At 39.8% G+C, this 14,360-nt stretch overlaps 1 protein-coding gene across 2 annotated transcripts in view; it reads right to left on the reverse strand.

The window, feature by feature from the left end:
* Window positions 1-544: 544 nt before the first annotated feature.
* The window catches only part of MGAT4A (alpha-1,3-mannosyl-glycoprotein 4-beta-N-acetylglucosaminyltransferase A), a 112,027-nt gene continuing 98,211 nt past the window's right edge, over window positions 545-14,360 (reverse strand). The window contains exons 15-16 of one of the 2 annotated variants that reach the window (NM_012214.3): window positions 7,162-7,274; window positions 545-7,031 (exon numbers count right to left, since the gene is read on the reverse strand). In NM_012214.3, the coding sequence (NP_036346.1) occupies window positions 7,005-7,031; window positions 7,162-7,274 (140 nt within the window). In that variant the 3' untranslated portion in view covers window positions 545-7,004. The remainder of the gene's footprint in view (window positions 7,032-7,161; window positions 7,275-14,360) is intronic. The other variant, NM_001160154.2, reaches the window with a different exon arrangement.

The raw sequence follows: 14,360 nt of genomic DNA on the forward strand, positions 1-14,360 counted from the left end.
AAATGCTAATGGCATGGGGAAAACATAAACATAAAACAATATGAATTATTTTTGAAAGAGTATCATCTAGTTGGAGAACAAGGGAATAATCATACAGCCCCATCGCTCTCCTATTGACAAAGATGCATAATCTCCATTTCTAATTAGCTGTATTTTAAATACTTACTTACATAAGCCACAAGATCCCTTCTAACCTTCGGAATCCTCTATAAACCTGTAGTGTCAGTCAAACGGGAGTCACTGTACTTCAGGCCCTAAGCATCATTAGCAGCATTTTCTACATTAAAAACTTACTTATAGCCCCTAAATATTTTAGATCAAAGAGGCCCAGGTAGCTACTCTTATTTTAGGAACTGTATAGTACATATAATAAAGTGAACATCAGCATAATATTGGTCATCACTGTCTTAACAGTAGGGCTTTTTTTTCCCCTTTCTTTAGAGACTTTACAAAACCCAATAGAGGATCCACTCCTTTTTCTAACTGAAAATGGATAACTAGTATTGTCTCAGTGTTAACAAAGTTAATAATAAAATACTACTCATTAAGTTTCACCTATTTTTATTAGAAGGAATCTTGAATTCAACATGGCTTTTTAAACTTCTTTATTTCAAATACACATGAACGGTCGTGGCACAGAGAAACAGTGATGAAGGCACAATCAACAGGACCAGTTACTAGGTTTTCAATTATAGCAGCAAATCTGAAAATAAATAATCTTCCTTTAAAAATCCAACAAGTACCTAAAATATTACTACGGATAGGAATCATTCAGCCAATGAAGACATTTTAAGGAAAATATATACAATACATTTAAGAAAAAAAAAAATCTGGTACAACCTGGCAAGGAGATTCCTCAGGCAGCTTCTCTAAGGGATGCTTCCAGAAACATCCCCTAATGCAGACAACCTTTCCAAAGTGTTCTGAATGGGACACTTCAGTTTTTCCATTCCATAAATGAAACACAATTGTTACACTTTGCTGATTTCTAAATCTTTCTTAGAAAACATTACTGCCTACACTGAAATGAAAAGTATCAAATCTACTGGCAGTGCATCTTACAGTACTGTCGATAGCAGCCATTTTTAAGGCTCAGAGAATATGTCTTCAAAAGATATTTTCACCAAATTTGAGCAAACACTGAGCATTTCAAATAAATAATGGAATGCTAATCAGGCAAAAGTACCAAACCCTTGGTTCCAGGACAGTTTGCTAATTACTAATACAATGAAACAACTAGGAGCAAGTGACACATAAAATAGCCTCCCTAAAGTCCAAGAGTATTAAAATATTCCCCACAACAAACAATCTTCATTTCAGAACAATTTTAGCACCACTTTTTTTTTTCCACAATTTTGACTGCAACATTAACAGTGGGAATGTTACTTCGCGCAAAGTGCTTTCCCATCAATGCTCAGTTTACTTTCTTGAATGAGGTCTTCTAAATTCTCAGCTCAGATGCACCCTGGAGTGCCAGCTTGCTCCTTCCTGTTTGTTCCTTTGAAAATGATCTAGTTAGTGCCCAAACCGGGTGAAGGAGTGTTTCAGGTAAGAAGAAGAGTTTATATATAGGTGTTGATACAGATATGTATAACAAAATCCTCAGTTTGGTTGGGTCTTTAAAAAATACCTTTTTAGCATTGTATGATCACATGCATTAAAGAAAGTAAGCATACTAGTTATCGTAGCATATAAGATTCATAATTTAAAATGCACAACTACCAAAGTCAAACAAAATTTTACACACTATAAATACTGCAACATAACTTGGAAAAGTTCCTTTTCTATAAAGGGATTGGACTGGATAAAGTTCCCTTAAAACACTAAGGTATGGTTATGACTCACATTTCTCATCTTCTGACAGTCTTAACCTCTCATTTTCTCTCTTTTAGTTCTACTTGTCTCGTATCAAGGACATGGCAATACAGTAAAAATAAGCAGAAAAATTAATGGACAAACCAAAATAAAACTTCATTAGCTATTAATGGCTTGGAAGCAGAGAGGTATTTGCAAAACATTCTCAAACTACAAACATTTGGCTGGCCCATACAGGATTTGATCTGTGCTAGATGATAAAAAGAGAAACTAAGTTTTGGTTAAAAAAAATTAAATCCCTCGATACACAGATTATCTGATCTCTACAAGGCAAAGGTTATTTTTGCTCTTAATGTATCTAAAATACCACTGTTAATCATTCTTGAATTTACTTCTGACAGGCTCAGAGCAGTCTAAATCAGTATAAAGTAACACCTCTTCTAGAAATAAAAAAGATCCCTTACACACTGTTTCAGTCCTATTCCTATAGTCTCATTCTAGCAGTTCCTTTACCAAACGCTACTCAGTAAGATGCTGCAACTTTGCCAACAAACGTCCAATGAAGACTAATTGAGATCTCTGGCGAGAACATCCCCAACAAGGTCCAGGTACATGACTTGCTACTAAAGACTTTATTCATGCATTTACCAAGAAATATCCAGCATACTACAGGGAATCAAGTATGAAGATTTCCTCTTTACCTCTTTTAAAATACTGTATTCATTTCCTATTCCTACATAACAAATTGCCACAAATTTAGCAGCTTAAAACACCACTGATTTATTATCTCATAGTTCTGTAGGTCAGAAGTCCAAGCAGGCTTAAGTGAGTTCTCGGCTTAGGGTCTCACAAGGCTGGATTCAAAGTGTTGGCCAGGCTGGGTCTTATCTGGAGACTGGAGATGAATGCCTTTCCAAGCCTATGAATGAGCTTATGGGCTGAATTCAGTTCCCGTGGCTGTAGGACTGCAGTTCCCAGCTCCTTTGCTGTTAGCCAAGGCCTCTCTCAGCTCCTCAAAGCCATGTGCATTCCTTCTCATGCAGCCCCCTCTACCTTAAAACAGCAATGGTGCCTGAGGTCCTTCTGCTTTGTCTCTTGACTTCTGCCACCAGCCCGAGAAAACTCTCTGCTTTTAAAGGAGTCACAAGATTTGATTAGCCACCCCCAGACAGTCTTCCTTTTGCTACATAACATGATATAATCATGGATCAAACAGGTTCCACCCATGCTCAAAGTGGGAGGATATTATACAAGGTCATTGGTGGGGGTGTCAGTAGGGGTCATTCTTAGAAATTTGCCTACCACAAATATACACTGTTATTCACTAGAATAATCTCTCCAAACGTGCTGTTTCCACATAACCAGTCTTTTCTTTGAGGGACAGCACTGTTGGGAGACAACCTCTTTTTCATTATTATGATAGATTTTTTAAAGGCCTTCATAATTTTGCTTATAGTTTTAAAAATAACAACACCTTCTAATTATTGACTAGTGCAACCACTGATTTGAGAAGATACACACTTTGTTCAAGGGTATTCAACCATCTCCAATTGTTGAACAAATACACACATACGTATCTACAGCCTATGTGCTAAATAATCCTTTGTGTTAACTTTTTCCAAAGCTTTTCAATCACACTGTCTGTTCTGACTACACAGTATGGTACAGCGCGTGATGTGGAGAATGCATGAGACTAAGATAAAGAACTTAAGAAATCTTACATCTTAGAATCCTAGAAATGGGTCCTCAGCTTTCTCTTCTCACCCAAAATATTCATCATCATTTGCATTATGTTCTATTCCCATGTCTGCTTTTAACCTCATGAGAATGTATTAATTGTGGTTTCTAAGCTGTTCATAATTAGCACTCTGGACACAGTACTGTTCAACAGAGCTTTCTGCAGTGATGGAAAAGTTCTGCATCCGTGGTGTCAAGTGTGGTGGCCACTAGCTCCACATGGCCACTGAGTACTTGGAATGTCACTAGTGTGTGTGATGGCAGAACCGGGTAAAAAAATGTTTTTATTTAAACAGCCCCCATGTGTCTACTGGCTATATGTGTTTTTAAAACTAGTCCCAACCTTTGACACTTTTTCCATTTACTATTTTGGTAAAATGATTCGGCGCCCTCTCAAGGCAAAGTATTTACCTTCTTCCAGTTCCAGGGACTCTTCCCCTCCCTTAATCTTCTGCCCTCACACTGCTCTTAAGGGCGACCACTACAATTTCCTGCTTGGGGAAAGGATGGCTGCTTCTACTAGTTGAGTGCAGAACTGGGCAGAAAGGAGGGAGTAACTAACAGTGAGAGGCCCTGAGCACCCACCATAGGAGAGGACAGATGAGCAGTATGAGCTGCAGGCTCGCCTCAGGAACCTGAAATCTGGTCAGAGAGACAGCACACACCATACACACAAACAATCAAAAACTAGACAACCGATTGTGTATGCAAGAGTATGGCAACGACAGCAGGGAGAGGGAGTTAAGAGAGAGAAAGGGGGCTGGACATGGTGGCACACACCTATAATCCCAGCACTTTGGGAGGCTGAGGCAGGAGGATTGCTTGAGGCCAGAGATCGAGGCTGCAGTGAGCTATGAGAGCACCACTGCACTCCAGCCTGGGCAACAAAGCGAGACCCTGTCTCAAAAATAATACAAAATGATAAAAAGAGAAAGAGGAGGGCAGGCTGGAATAATTGGTCTCACATCCAGATGCTGACTGGCCACCTGCCACGTGCCTGGCACACACCCTAGGCACGGGTAGATTCATGGGGAGAGAAGCACAAAAAAGTCCTGGAATGATAGGAAAGATTTGGCTAAAAGGAGTCTTGGGAACAAGAATGAGTTTCTTGGGAACAACAGGTGGACCAATGCTGGGAGGGCAAACTGCATGAAAACAGGAAAAAGCTAGCCAGGCAGGCTGTCTTTAAAGAAGTTGTAACAAATCACACCAGGTGCTGCAATAACTTTCTCCTCCCTAGATTTTCAGAGCATGGTCTTTCTTCATGAAACCAGAGTTGGCAACTGAGGAACCAGGGACCCAAGAGTACTCCTAAGCCCACCTGCAGAGATTTTTACTTCTGGTACTCAGTTATCTTTGCAGTAATTTAGTATACCAAGCTGGTGCCAAAATTTTATGACAAAAGGTTATTCCTGTTTTTGAATGAAATTTGCTCATGGGCACTGGGCCAAGGAAATTTGAGAAGAAAAAAATTCAAGAAAGTGAAAAGTAAATTTAAAACATCCTAATAAAAAAATTTCAACTGGCCTTTAACTGACATAAAAATCATTTTTGGCAATGTGATTGACTTTTCAATCAAGAAAAGTAACTAAAAATTATAACAACATGGAGTGATGGAAATAATTGTACTGTATCAGTGTTTCCAAACGTTTGCACTTTGTAACACAGCACAGGAAATGATGCTATTTCATGCTGTTGGTTCAGCACATTGGGTAACTAGATGAAGCTCCTCCAGGCTAGAGGCAGCCAGCTGGAACCTTGCCCCAGCGCTAGGCCCCAGCCAGTGGTCACTCTGAAAGCTCAGCAGAATCCATCTCTGCCCGTCTGCAACCAACCTGCAACCCACTTGTGGCACCCCAGTGTGTCCAAGCAGACTGGCTGGGAACTGATGTTGATACTTCATCTTTTTTTTTTTTTGAGACGGAGTCTAGCTGTGTCGCCCAGGCTGGAGTGCAGTGGTGCGATCTCAGCTCACTGCCAGCTCTGCCTCCTGGGTTCACGCCATTCTCCTGCCTCAGCCTCCCAAGTAGCTGGGATTACAGGCACCTGCCACCACGCCTGGCTAATTTTTTGTATTTTTAGTAGAGACAGGGTTTCACCGTGTTAGCCAGGATGGTCTTGATCTCCTGACCTCGTGATCCGCCCGCCTCGGCCTCCCAAAGTGCTGGGATTACAGGCGTGAGCCACAGCGCCTGGTGATAATTCATCATTTTTTAAAAGTACTTTTATAAAGATCACTGATTGCTGAGACCGGTAATATTCTTTGTTTATAGTAGTAATATCATTTGGAATAGCGTGTTTAAGAGTAATAAATACAGTCTCTTGGACACGGGACTCACTTATCAGTTCATACTACAATAAAATCATTTTGGAAAATATACTACTAATAATATATTTCACCAAAAAACAATATTACAATTTTCTTTAAAATTATACCAATTATGACTCATACAATAGCAACACCTAGAAAACATTTTGTCTGACGTCATAAAATGAGTGCAGATATAAAAGAATCAACAGCAGATAATGCACCTAATTCATGGATTAAAGACAAAGATTAAAAAGGAAAGAAGAGTTTGTCATTTTACATATCAGAGGAAATATAATAAGTTAAGTCTACAATAATCTGGGTTGAATGCATCACACTTACACATTGAAAATTTATCAGACTGACTTTCTGTGGCTATACACCATACACAGTATAGTAAAGTAACCCTCAGGAAGGACATTAGTCTTTAAAATCTTGGCTTTAAGGAATGACAAATGTCTTTGAAAATATTTTGTTCAGTCACTGTGATTATAAAAGTACTTCAATTAAGAAATCCATCTATAATCAATCTTAAATGGCAGTGCATTTGAAAAATGGCATTGGTTTGTAATGTTTGCATTTCCAAAGAAAAATATAGAAAGAACTTAAAAAAGCAAGGAAACTGGTTTTCAAAAAAAGTATCGATTCAAAAATCTACTGCACAAAAATATGTACTTCTTAAGTGTTTCTAATAAATTAATTCCATAACATTTTTATGTATATTTATATATTTATATATATAATCCCTGATAATCTATAAAAGAGGGTCTATAATAGTAAAATAAGTGAACCTCAAAAGTACCCCCTTCATAAAATGTATGTAACATTAGTTTTTCTCAAATTTAAAGAATGTAACAATATGTACAACTCTTATGTATTAGTATAATACCAAAATAGTACAAGTCATATTAACAGGCTGTCATAATTGAAAAATGTTTGAGTCAAGTTAAAATCTGAGGACAGCTTAGTTTCAAACAAATACAATTATTATGGGAGATTCACTTTCCAAGTGGAAATGACAATCGTCTTATCTACAGTAGACTTCACAAGAGGTAGTGTTCAAGTAGAAATAAAAAAAAGATACATGCTTAACTATCTTTAATTAACAAATTCACAGGAAAAAATGTGTTGGTTTCTCAGATGATCAGTTGGTGGCTTTTTTAATATGAATCTGAAATACAAAATCATAAAAGGTATGATAAAGCTGTTAATTCTCAATTCCAAAAAGGCCTTAAATACAAAATAAAAACATAATAAAAATGTAGTTTCTAAGTTGTTTCACTGATTTGATATATGCTTACCTCATTAAGAATGGCCCAAACAGCAGAATTCTGAATAACTGAAAGTCGAAAGGCTGAAATGGGATTGAGACTTGGATCCACCATTCCTTCTGCAACACCATTCTCAAATTTTCCTTCAAAATAAAAATCAATACTTGTTGGATACACCGAGATAAGCAAACATAAAATATCACTGAGTTAAGGCAGGAAAGGAATACACCAAAATATTTCTAGTAGATGTCTTTTGACAGGGCACAGGTAATTTCTTTCCCCCTTCTTTCTACTTTCATTCAGCTTTTATATTTTTCATGAAGAAGTGCATATTTAAAAACTTCACAATTTACTTAATTAGGCAGAGCTATAATTTTTCTCACTACAAATTAAAAAACAAAAATATATTTGTTCTTATATCAACCATGTTTTAAACTATAGGTTTTTTGTAAATTGTGATTTACCTAAATCTTACCAAAATATAATCTGTACCATCACGCAGTCTGATTGCTTTGAATGTTAAGTCAATAACAAATTTTGATTTGTTAATTAAATACGCACACAGTTGTTCACCTTGAGCAGGGACTCAATACAAGTGTATTCTTTCCAAAGGCACATTTAGAAGGAATTAAGAAATAATGCCTCCTCTACACAGTTCAATATAAAACTCCACTATAATGACAAGCTAAAACAGGCTCTCCTATAAAAATAAGGACCAAGAACCATAAAAGGTAACATGCTGTGTACCACTTTTCTTGCTATCAGGAATAACATCCATCTTAAAACCAAAAAATGTCGTCAGAAAAGTGACAAGAAAATGGTTCATTGTGGGCCAAATTTCTTTAAGCCAAGGTTGGTAAACTTTTTCTATAAAGGACAGTCCTTGTGGGCCAAGAGGAAATTTGAGATTACTATGTAGGGTAATATATACAGGAAGAGAGAAAACAAATTTTTACAAATCTGAGGTGGAAATTCAATATATAATGATAACTGAATACAATATATATTTTTTGGTAATATAGGTATACCAAGGAGAAGAACATAATTCCTTTCGGGAGTATAACATTTCACTTAACTGGGGTTCAAAGTTAGTGTTCCCTATAATCAAAACTGACTGCAAATGTTCCCTTGTTATTGTTGATTGATAATGATATTTTATATACATCTTTGAAACGTTCTTTCACACAGCCTAGGTGCTGCCTAATACTGATATCAATCCACAAACACACGATTTTAATGGGGCACATGCATCCCTTGGGAGGCACTTATGGAATTCTATTTGATTTTCCTTTTGGTATATTATTAGCCTTCCGGTATATTATTACACTGCAGATGAATCATTTCCAATTGAGATTTAGGTGAAGTTCCTCAATTAAATGGATTTTGAGATATGGAAATTTCTCTTTCATTTGTATTGAGGTCCAAAACCACTGCTGGGACTATAGTTTGAGCTTGGAAAGTGCATCTGCCGTAAACTTGTGTGGGATGGAGATCTTGCTTCCTGTTTTAACTTTTGAAAGCATGAGAAATGTATAAAGAGCTTGATGGTGCTTCAAGTTCAATGTTAACTGTCATTAAAATGATTTGACTGCAATGTTAGTTTTGCATATAAGCACCATTTTGTCTTGTAATTTTAGGTTGAATTCATTAAGAAACAATATTAAGTCTGCAGCAAAAACTAGTTTTCTTTTTTTTTTCTTTGAGATAGAGTCTCACTCTGTCACCCAAGCTGGAGTGCGATGGCACGATCTCGGCTCACTGCAACCTCTGCTTCCCAGGTTCAAATGATCCTCCCACCTCAGCCTCCCGAGCAGCTGGGATTACAGGCATGTGCCACCACACCTGGCTAATTTTTGTATCTTTATTAGAGACGGGGTTTCACCATGCTGGCCAGGCTGGTCTTGGACCTCTGACCTCAAGTGATCCACCTGCCTCGGCCTCCCAAAGTGCTGGGCTCACAAGCGTGAGCCACCATGCCCAGTTTAGCAAAAACGAATTTTCAAAGTGATAATAGCTGTTGAGGGAAGTTCTCATTTGGGAAAATTTCAATCTTGGTCCTGAACTCAAAAAAACTGCAGTAAATCTCTACCACTGCTAAGCCACTGAACTGCTGTGTGGCAGGGCAAGTCAGGATATTCAGTTCCTATTTCTGACAAAAATTCACAGCATTTGTGATGGCTAAGTCCATGAGAGTGAATAAGGTTCACTGTTGACACTTTTGTTCAATGACATATGACACATTCAAATCTTTTCTGCAAAGTACCTGGCTGATGAATAATAAAATAAATAACCATAGGCTTTAAATACCTTACATTTTTTTCAAGCTTTATAAATTAATGCAACTAAGCCATCTTCTCCACAAGTATTTTTTTTTAGCACCATTTGTTTAAGCACATCTTAGCAGATTCTACTTCAGGTTGTACTGAATTTGTGTTTTCTCAGCCTGTGTGAAAATACTCTTCTCTGTAGTTGTTCTAAACAGACTATTTACAGGGGCCAACCCTCAGTGTCTTCAACCATGGCACTGATTCCAAGTAATAACTGAGCAGTACCAGTGACAACTCCGTCAATTCCTCAGGAGCCAAGAAAAACACTCAAAATAATCTGCTTTGTTTTTTGAATACTGATATTGCTCCCAATGTCCTTAAGTCTTCAAACAATTGTTATTGCTGAAAGCCTCCTATCCTTAAATAAGTTTACTTTCTCTGCACACATTACTTTGGCTGCTGCTATTAACCATGATTTAATTAACTCGTGATTGGTAAGTGGTTTTTCTTGCTTAGCTAAAAAATAAGCCACTTGAAATACCACTTTGGGAACAGCCTCATTTTTATTTTTAGTGAAGAAATTCTGCTGTGATGAGATATTCCATTCTAAAGTTTCTAACTTTTCTGACCACTGCTTTCCTGTGAGTTGGGAGTATCATTGTATTTAGCCTAATAACGTACAGCTCTCACATAACTGCACAATAACTACAATGACTTGCCAACAATTTTGTAACATAACCCACATTCTACAGTGTTAAAAGCCACAATGCTCAAAATCTACTTTTCTTGTTTTGATGATGGATAAGTACTTGTAATTTTTTTTTAAGTCAGAGTGCCATGATATGTGTGGCTCTCAAAATACTGTCCAATTATAAATGCATCATTGTGATCTGCAGTACTCTAAGCAGCAGTGCAAAGCCGGGAGAGCATGACCTCGATCTCTCCTGCACCTACTCACTCATCTTTGCTGTTGGAGAGAAGCACACACGCACACACTACATTAGAAAATGAGCATGGCTGTCTTCCAAAAAAACTTTATTTATGGACACAGAAATCTGAATTTTATATAATTTTCACATAGCACAATGTATTCTTTTTACTTTTTTAGCCATTTAAAAACAAAAAAAGAAAAAGATGACTTTTTAAAAAATGTTCTTAGATCACAGACTATTCAAAAACAGGTGGAGGGCCAGATGTGCCCCATGGACCGTAGTTTGCTGACCACATGCTGTTACATTATGCAATCCATTGTCCAGTCTCACAGCATAGTTAATAGATTAATAATAAAATAAGGTACATTCAGATTGAAAACCACAGCAGAGCAGGCTTGTACTAATTTATATTGTAAATGTTGAACCTATGAGCCTCCAAAGTAATGCTTTTATTCAAAAATTATTAATAAACTTATTTCATAGAAGTTTGTCCATACTTGGTGCTGGACTTGGGTAGCAGGTAGGTGCTACCAAAAATTATTATTGAATATTGAATTAGGCATGGGATTCAGATCTTAAAAATATTGCAAAACTTGGAACATTTTAACCAATGTGACATTGAATACTGTCACCTGATGAGCTCATTTCATTAGAAAAATAATTACCAAATGATAAGTAGTTCATCAAAACACTCTTGCCCAGCAATTTATCCTCTCCCATGTATAAGAACAGTACATACACTACCGCAAAAGATTGCAAACAACCTAAGTATCCATCACTAGGAGCCTGGCCAAATAAATTACAATATGCTGATACAAGGGAATTTTAGGCAGCCAATTTCTTCAGTCGAAGAAAAAATAAAAAAGAATAAGCCAGCCACAGTCGCTCACACCTGTAATTCTGGCACTTTGGGAGGCTGAGGCAGGCAGATCACCTGAGGTCAGGAGTTCGAGACCAGCCTAGCCAACATGGTGAAACCCCGTCTCTACTAAAAATACAAAAATTAAGCCAGGCATGGTGGCCTGCGCCTGTAATCCCAGCTAATTGGGAGGCTGAGGCAGAGAGAAATGCTTGAACCCAGGAGGCGGAGGATGCAGTGAGTCAAGATTGTGCCACTGCACTCTACCCTGGGCGACAGAGCAAGACTCCATCTATAAATAAATAAATCAATCAAATAATGAAGAAAAAGTTGAAGATAATGCAGTTGAAGATTTGCTTCTCTTCCTAAGTCTATATTGTAGAGAAACTCTCATACATGTGCACAAGTGTTCAAAGCAGCCATGTTTATTACAGCAAAAACATGTACACAAACTTTATGACCAGAGAACAGATCGTGCTGTCCACAGAATCCATCCATAGAGGAGTGAAAAAGAATGAGTCGTAAACACACACACTCACGTGGATGAATCTCACAATTGTGAGGGGGAAGAAACCAAACTGTAGACCACAGAAAGATATTTATATCAAACGTGAAAACAGGCAAAATCCCACTGTGCATTGCTTAGGAATATATTCCATACATAGTAAAAATGGAAATGGTAACCATAAAATTCAGGTGTTGAAGGAGAAGAGAAGCTATTAGGGTATAGCTTTGGGGAGAAGGGGAAGAGAAGAGAAGCTATTAGGGACGGACAGCTGAATTGGCACATCTTAAGCTGGAGGGTGGATACAGGTACTCAGCATATTATTATTATTAAAATATTTTTAAATGTTCATGTTCCATACGTACATAGGCATTTTGTTCCATGAAAAAAAGAGATGTAAAACTGGATTATAGGGCGTATCATTTGTGTGTGACGATGTGTTGTTCTTAGAGAACATACCCAGATATTGTTATTTATGCATACAATACTCCCGAAGGGACACAAATCATTACGGGAACTGCCTCTCAGAAGCAGTGGGTAGGAGAAGAAAAGGGAAGAAGACTTAAGACTACCCTTTTAAATTTGTATTTGGTACTGTGTGTGTGTAATGACTTTTCAAACTACAAACTTAACCTTTGTCCTTAACCCAATGGTCTGGAAGGTAAGTATTAAGACAGGAAAGAAGAGAAAAAGTGAAGGAAATTACCAGAGTGACTGGAACCCCACACTCCTGGCATTGACAGGGACGGCCAAGGGCTACAGCCGTGGCTCCCCTCCGCCCGCCATGCCTGACCAGTGGCCCTTTCCTTCTCCCACTGGGTCTCTGCAGAAGGTTCTTCTGCCGTCTCGCAGCTTTAACCCACTGAAATAGAACTAGTATTTCTTCCACAAGACCATTCTTAGCTATCACGCTCTACTCTTCTAACCCCCACGCCATCAACCCTCGGGTCTCCACTGATGGCCAGCTGATGGTCTACTGTTCTTGCCAATGCCTTCACGCGTAAGTTGCTACCCAGTCTGATCCCATTTAAATTCAGGCCCCTCTCCAGGGCCAGTCTTGGCGACATGCAAGGGGAGCAGGGAAGTGCTGGGTAGAGAAGGTCATGAGCCCTGGCTAGAGCTCCAACCTCGGGCCTGTGCCCACCGACCTAGGTGAGGACAGGCATTTCCGTCTTCCCACCCAAATGTTGCATTTCCCAAGACCACCCTGGCCTGCCACGTCCCCATACTGTGCCTATAAAAGCCCTGAGACCCTAGCAGGCAGGCACACAAGTGGCTGGACGTGGAGGGGAAGGAAGCACACGGGCGGGCGGAAGAGCACACCCGCGGATGCTGGCAGGCCATCGATGGGCGGAATGACGCAGAATTTGGCCAGGGCAGTCGGAGGAGAGCCTAGGCAGCCCGACTCCAGGGGAAAACCATCTCCCTTCTGGCTCCCCCATGTGCTGAGAGCTACTTCCACTCAATAAAACCTGGCACTCATTCTCCAAGCCCACGTGTGATCCAATTCATCCGGTACACCAAGGCAAGAGACCCCGGGATACAGAAAGCTTCTGTCCTTGTGATAAGGCAGGGGGTCTAATGGCTGGTGCGGTGGGTCACGCCTGTAATCCCAGCACTTTGGGAGGCCGAGGCCAGTGGATCACGAGGTCAACACCAGCCTGGCCAACATGGCGAAACCCCGCCTCTACCAAAAATAGAAAAATGAGCCAGGCCTGGTGGTGGGCGCCTGTAATCCCAGGTACTCGGGAGGCTGAGGCAGGAGAATCACTTGAACCCGGGAGGCGGCGCTTGCAGTGAGCCGGGATTGCACTACTGCACTTCAGCCTGGGCGGCAAAGCGAGACTCTGTCTCCAATAAATAAATAAATAAATAAATAAATAAAAAGGCAGGGGGTCTAATTGAGCTAACAAACACAAGCCACCTATGGACAGCTAAACTAAAAGAGCACCCTGTAACACGCGCCCACTGGGACCTCAGGAGCTGTAAACATTCACCCCTAGACACTGCCATGGGGTCAGAGCCCCACAGCCTGCCCTTCTGCATGCTCCCCTAGGGGTTTGAGCAGTAGGGCACCAAAGAAGCAAGCCACACCCCCATCACACGCCCTGAAAGGTGGGTAAGGGAACTTTTCCCGTCTCAACAGCAGCTTGTTTGCACGCCAAGAGGGCTCTTACTAGCATCTCTTTCCCTAGTTCTCCCTGTTAAACTTTCCACTGGGATCCAAATTTGCTTGTCTGTAGCTAACATCTCTAATTGCTTAACACTAAAATTTCCATTGTATTCCACAGCACCCTTAGGCTGAACTTCCCCACATTCTGGTTCAAGTAAGTCATCTCCTCTTTAGGGAGAACTACAGAGCTCTCTGTTCTTCTGGCCTGCCTCTCCATTGGGCACAATCTCTGCACCACTGCTCTGGGTCCTTGGCAAGGACAGCAGCCCCTTCTCTTGGAGTGACACCTTGCTTTAGGATCAGAGCACTGGTCATGGCAGTAGCCCTTGGTTTTTGTCTTGTTTTGTTTTGTTTGAGACAGAGTGGCCCAGGCTGGAATGCAATGGTGCAATCTTGGCTCACTGCAACCTCCACCTCCTGCGTTGGGTTCAAGCAATTCTCCAGCCTCAGCCTACTAAGTAGCTGGAACTACAGGCATGCACCACCACACCTG

The sequence above is a fragment of the Homo sapiens genome, chromosome 2 (assembly GCF_000001405.40).
Source record: "Homo sapiens chromosome 2, GRCh38.p14 Primary Assembly".
Taxonomy (NCBI): Eukaryota; Metazoa; Chordata; class Mammalia; order Primates; family Hominidae; genus Homo; species Homo sapiens.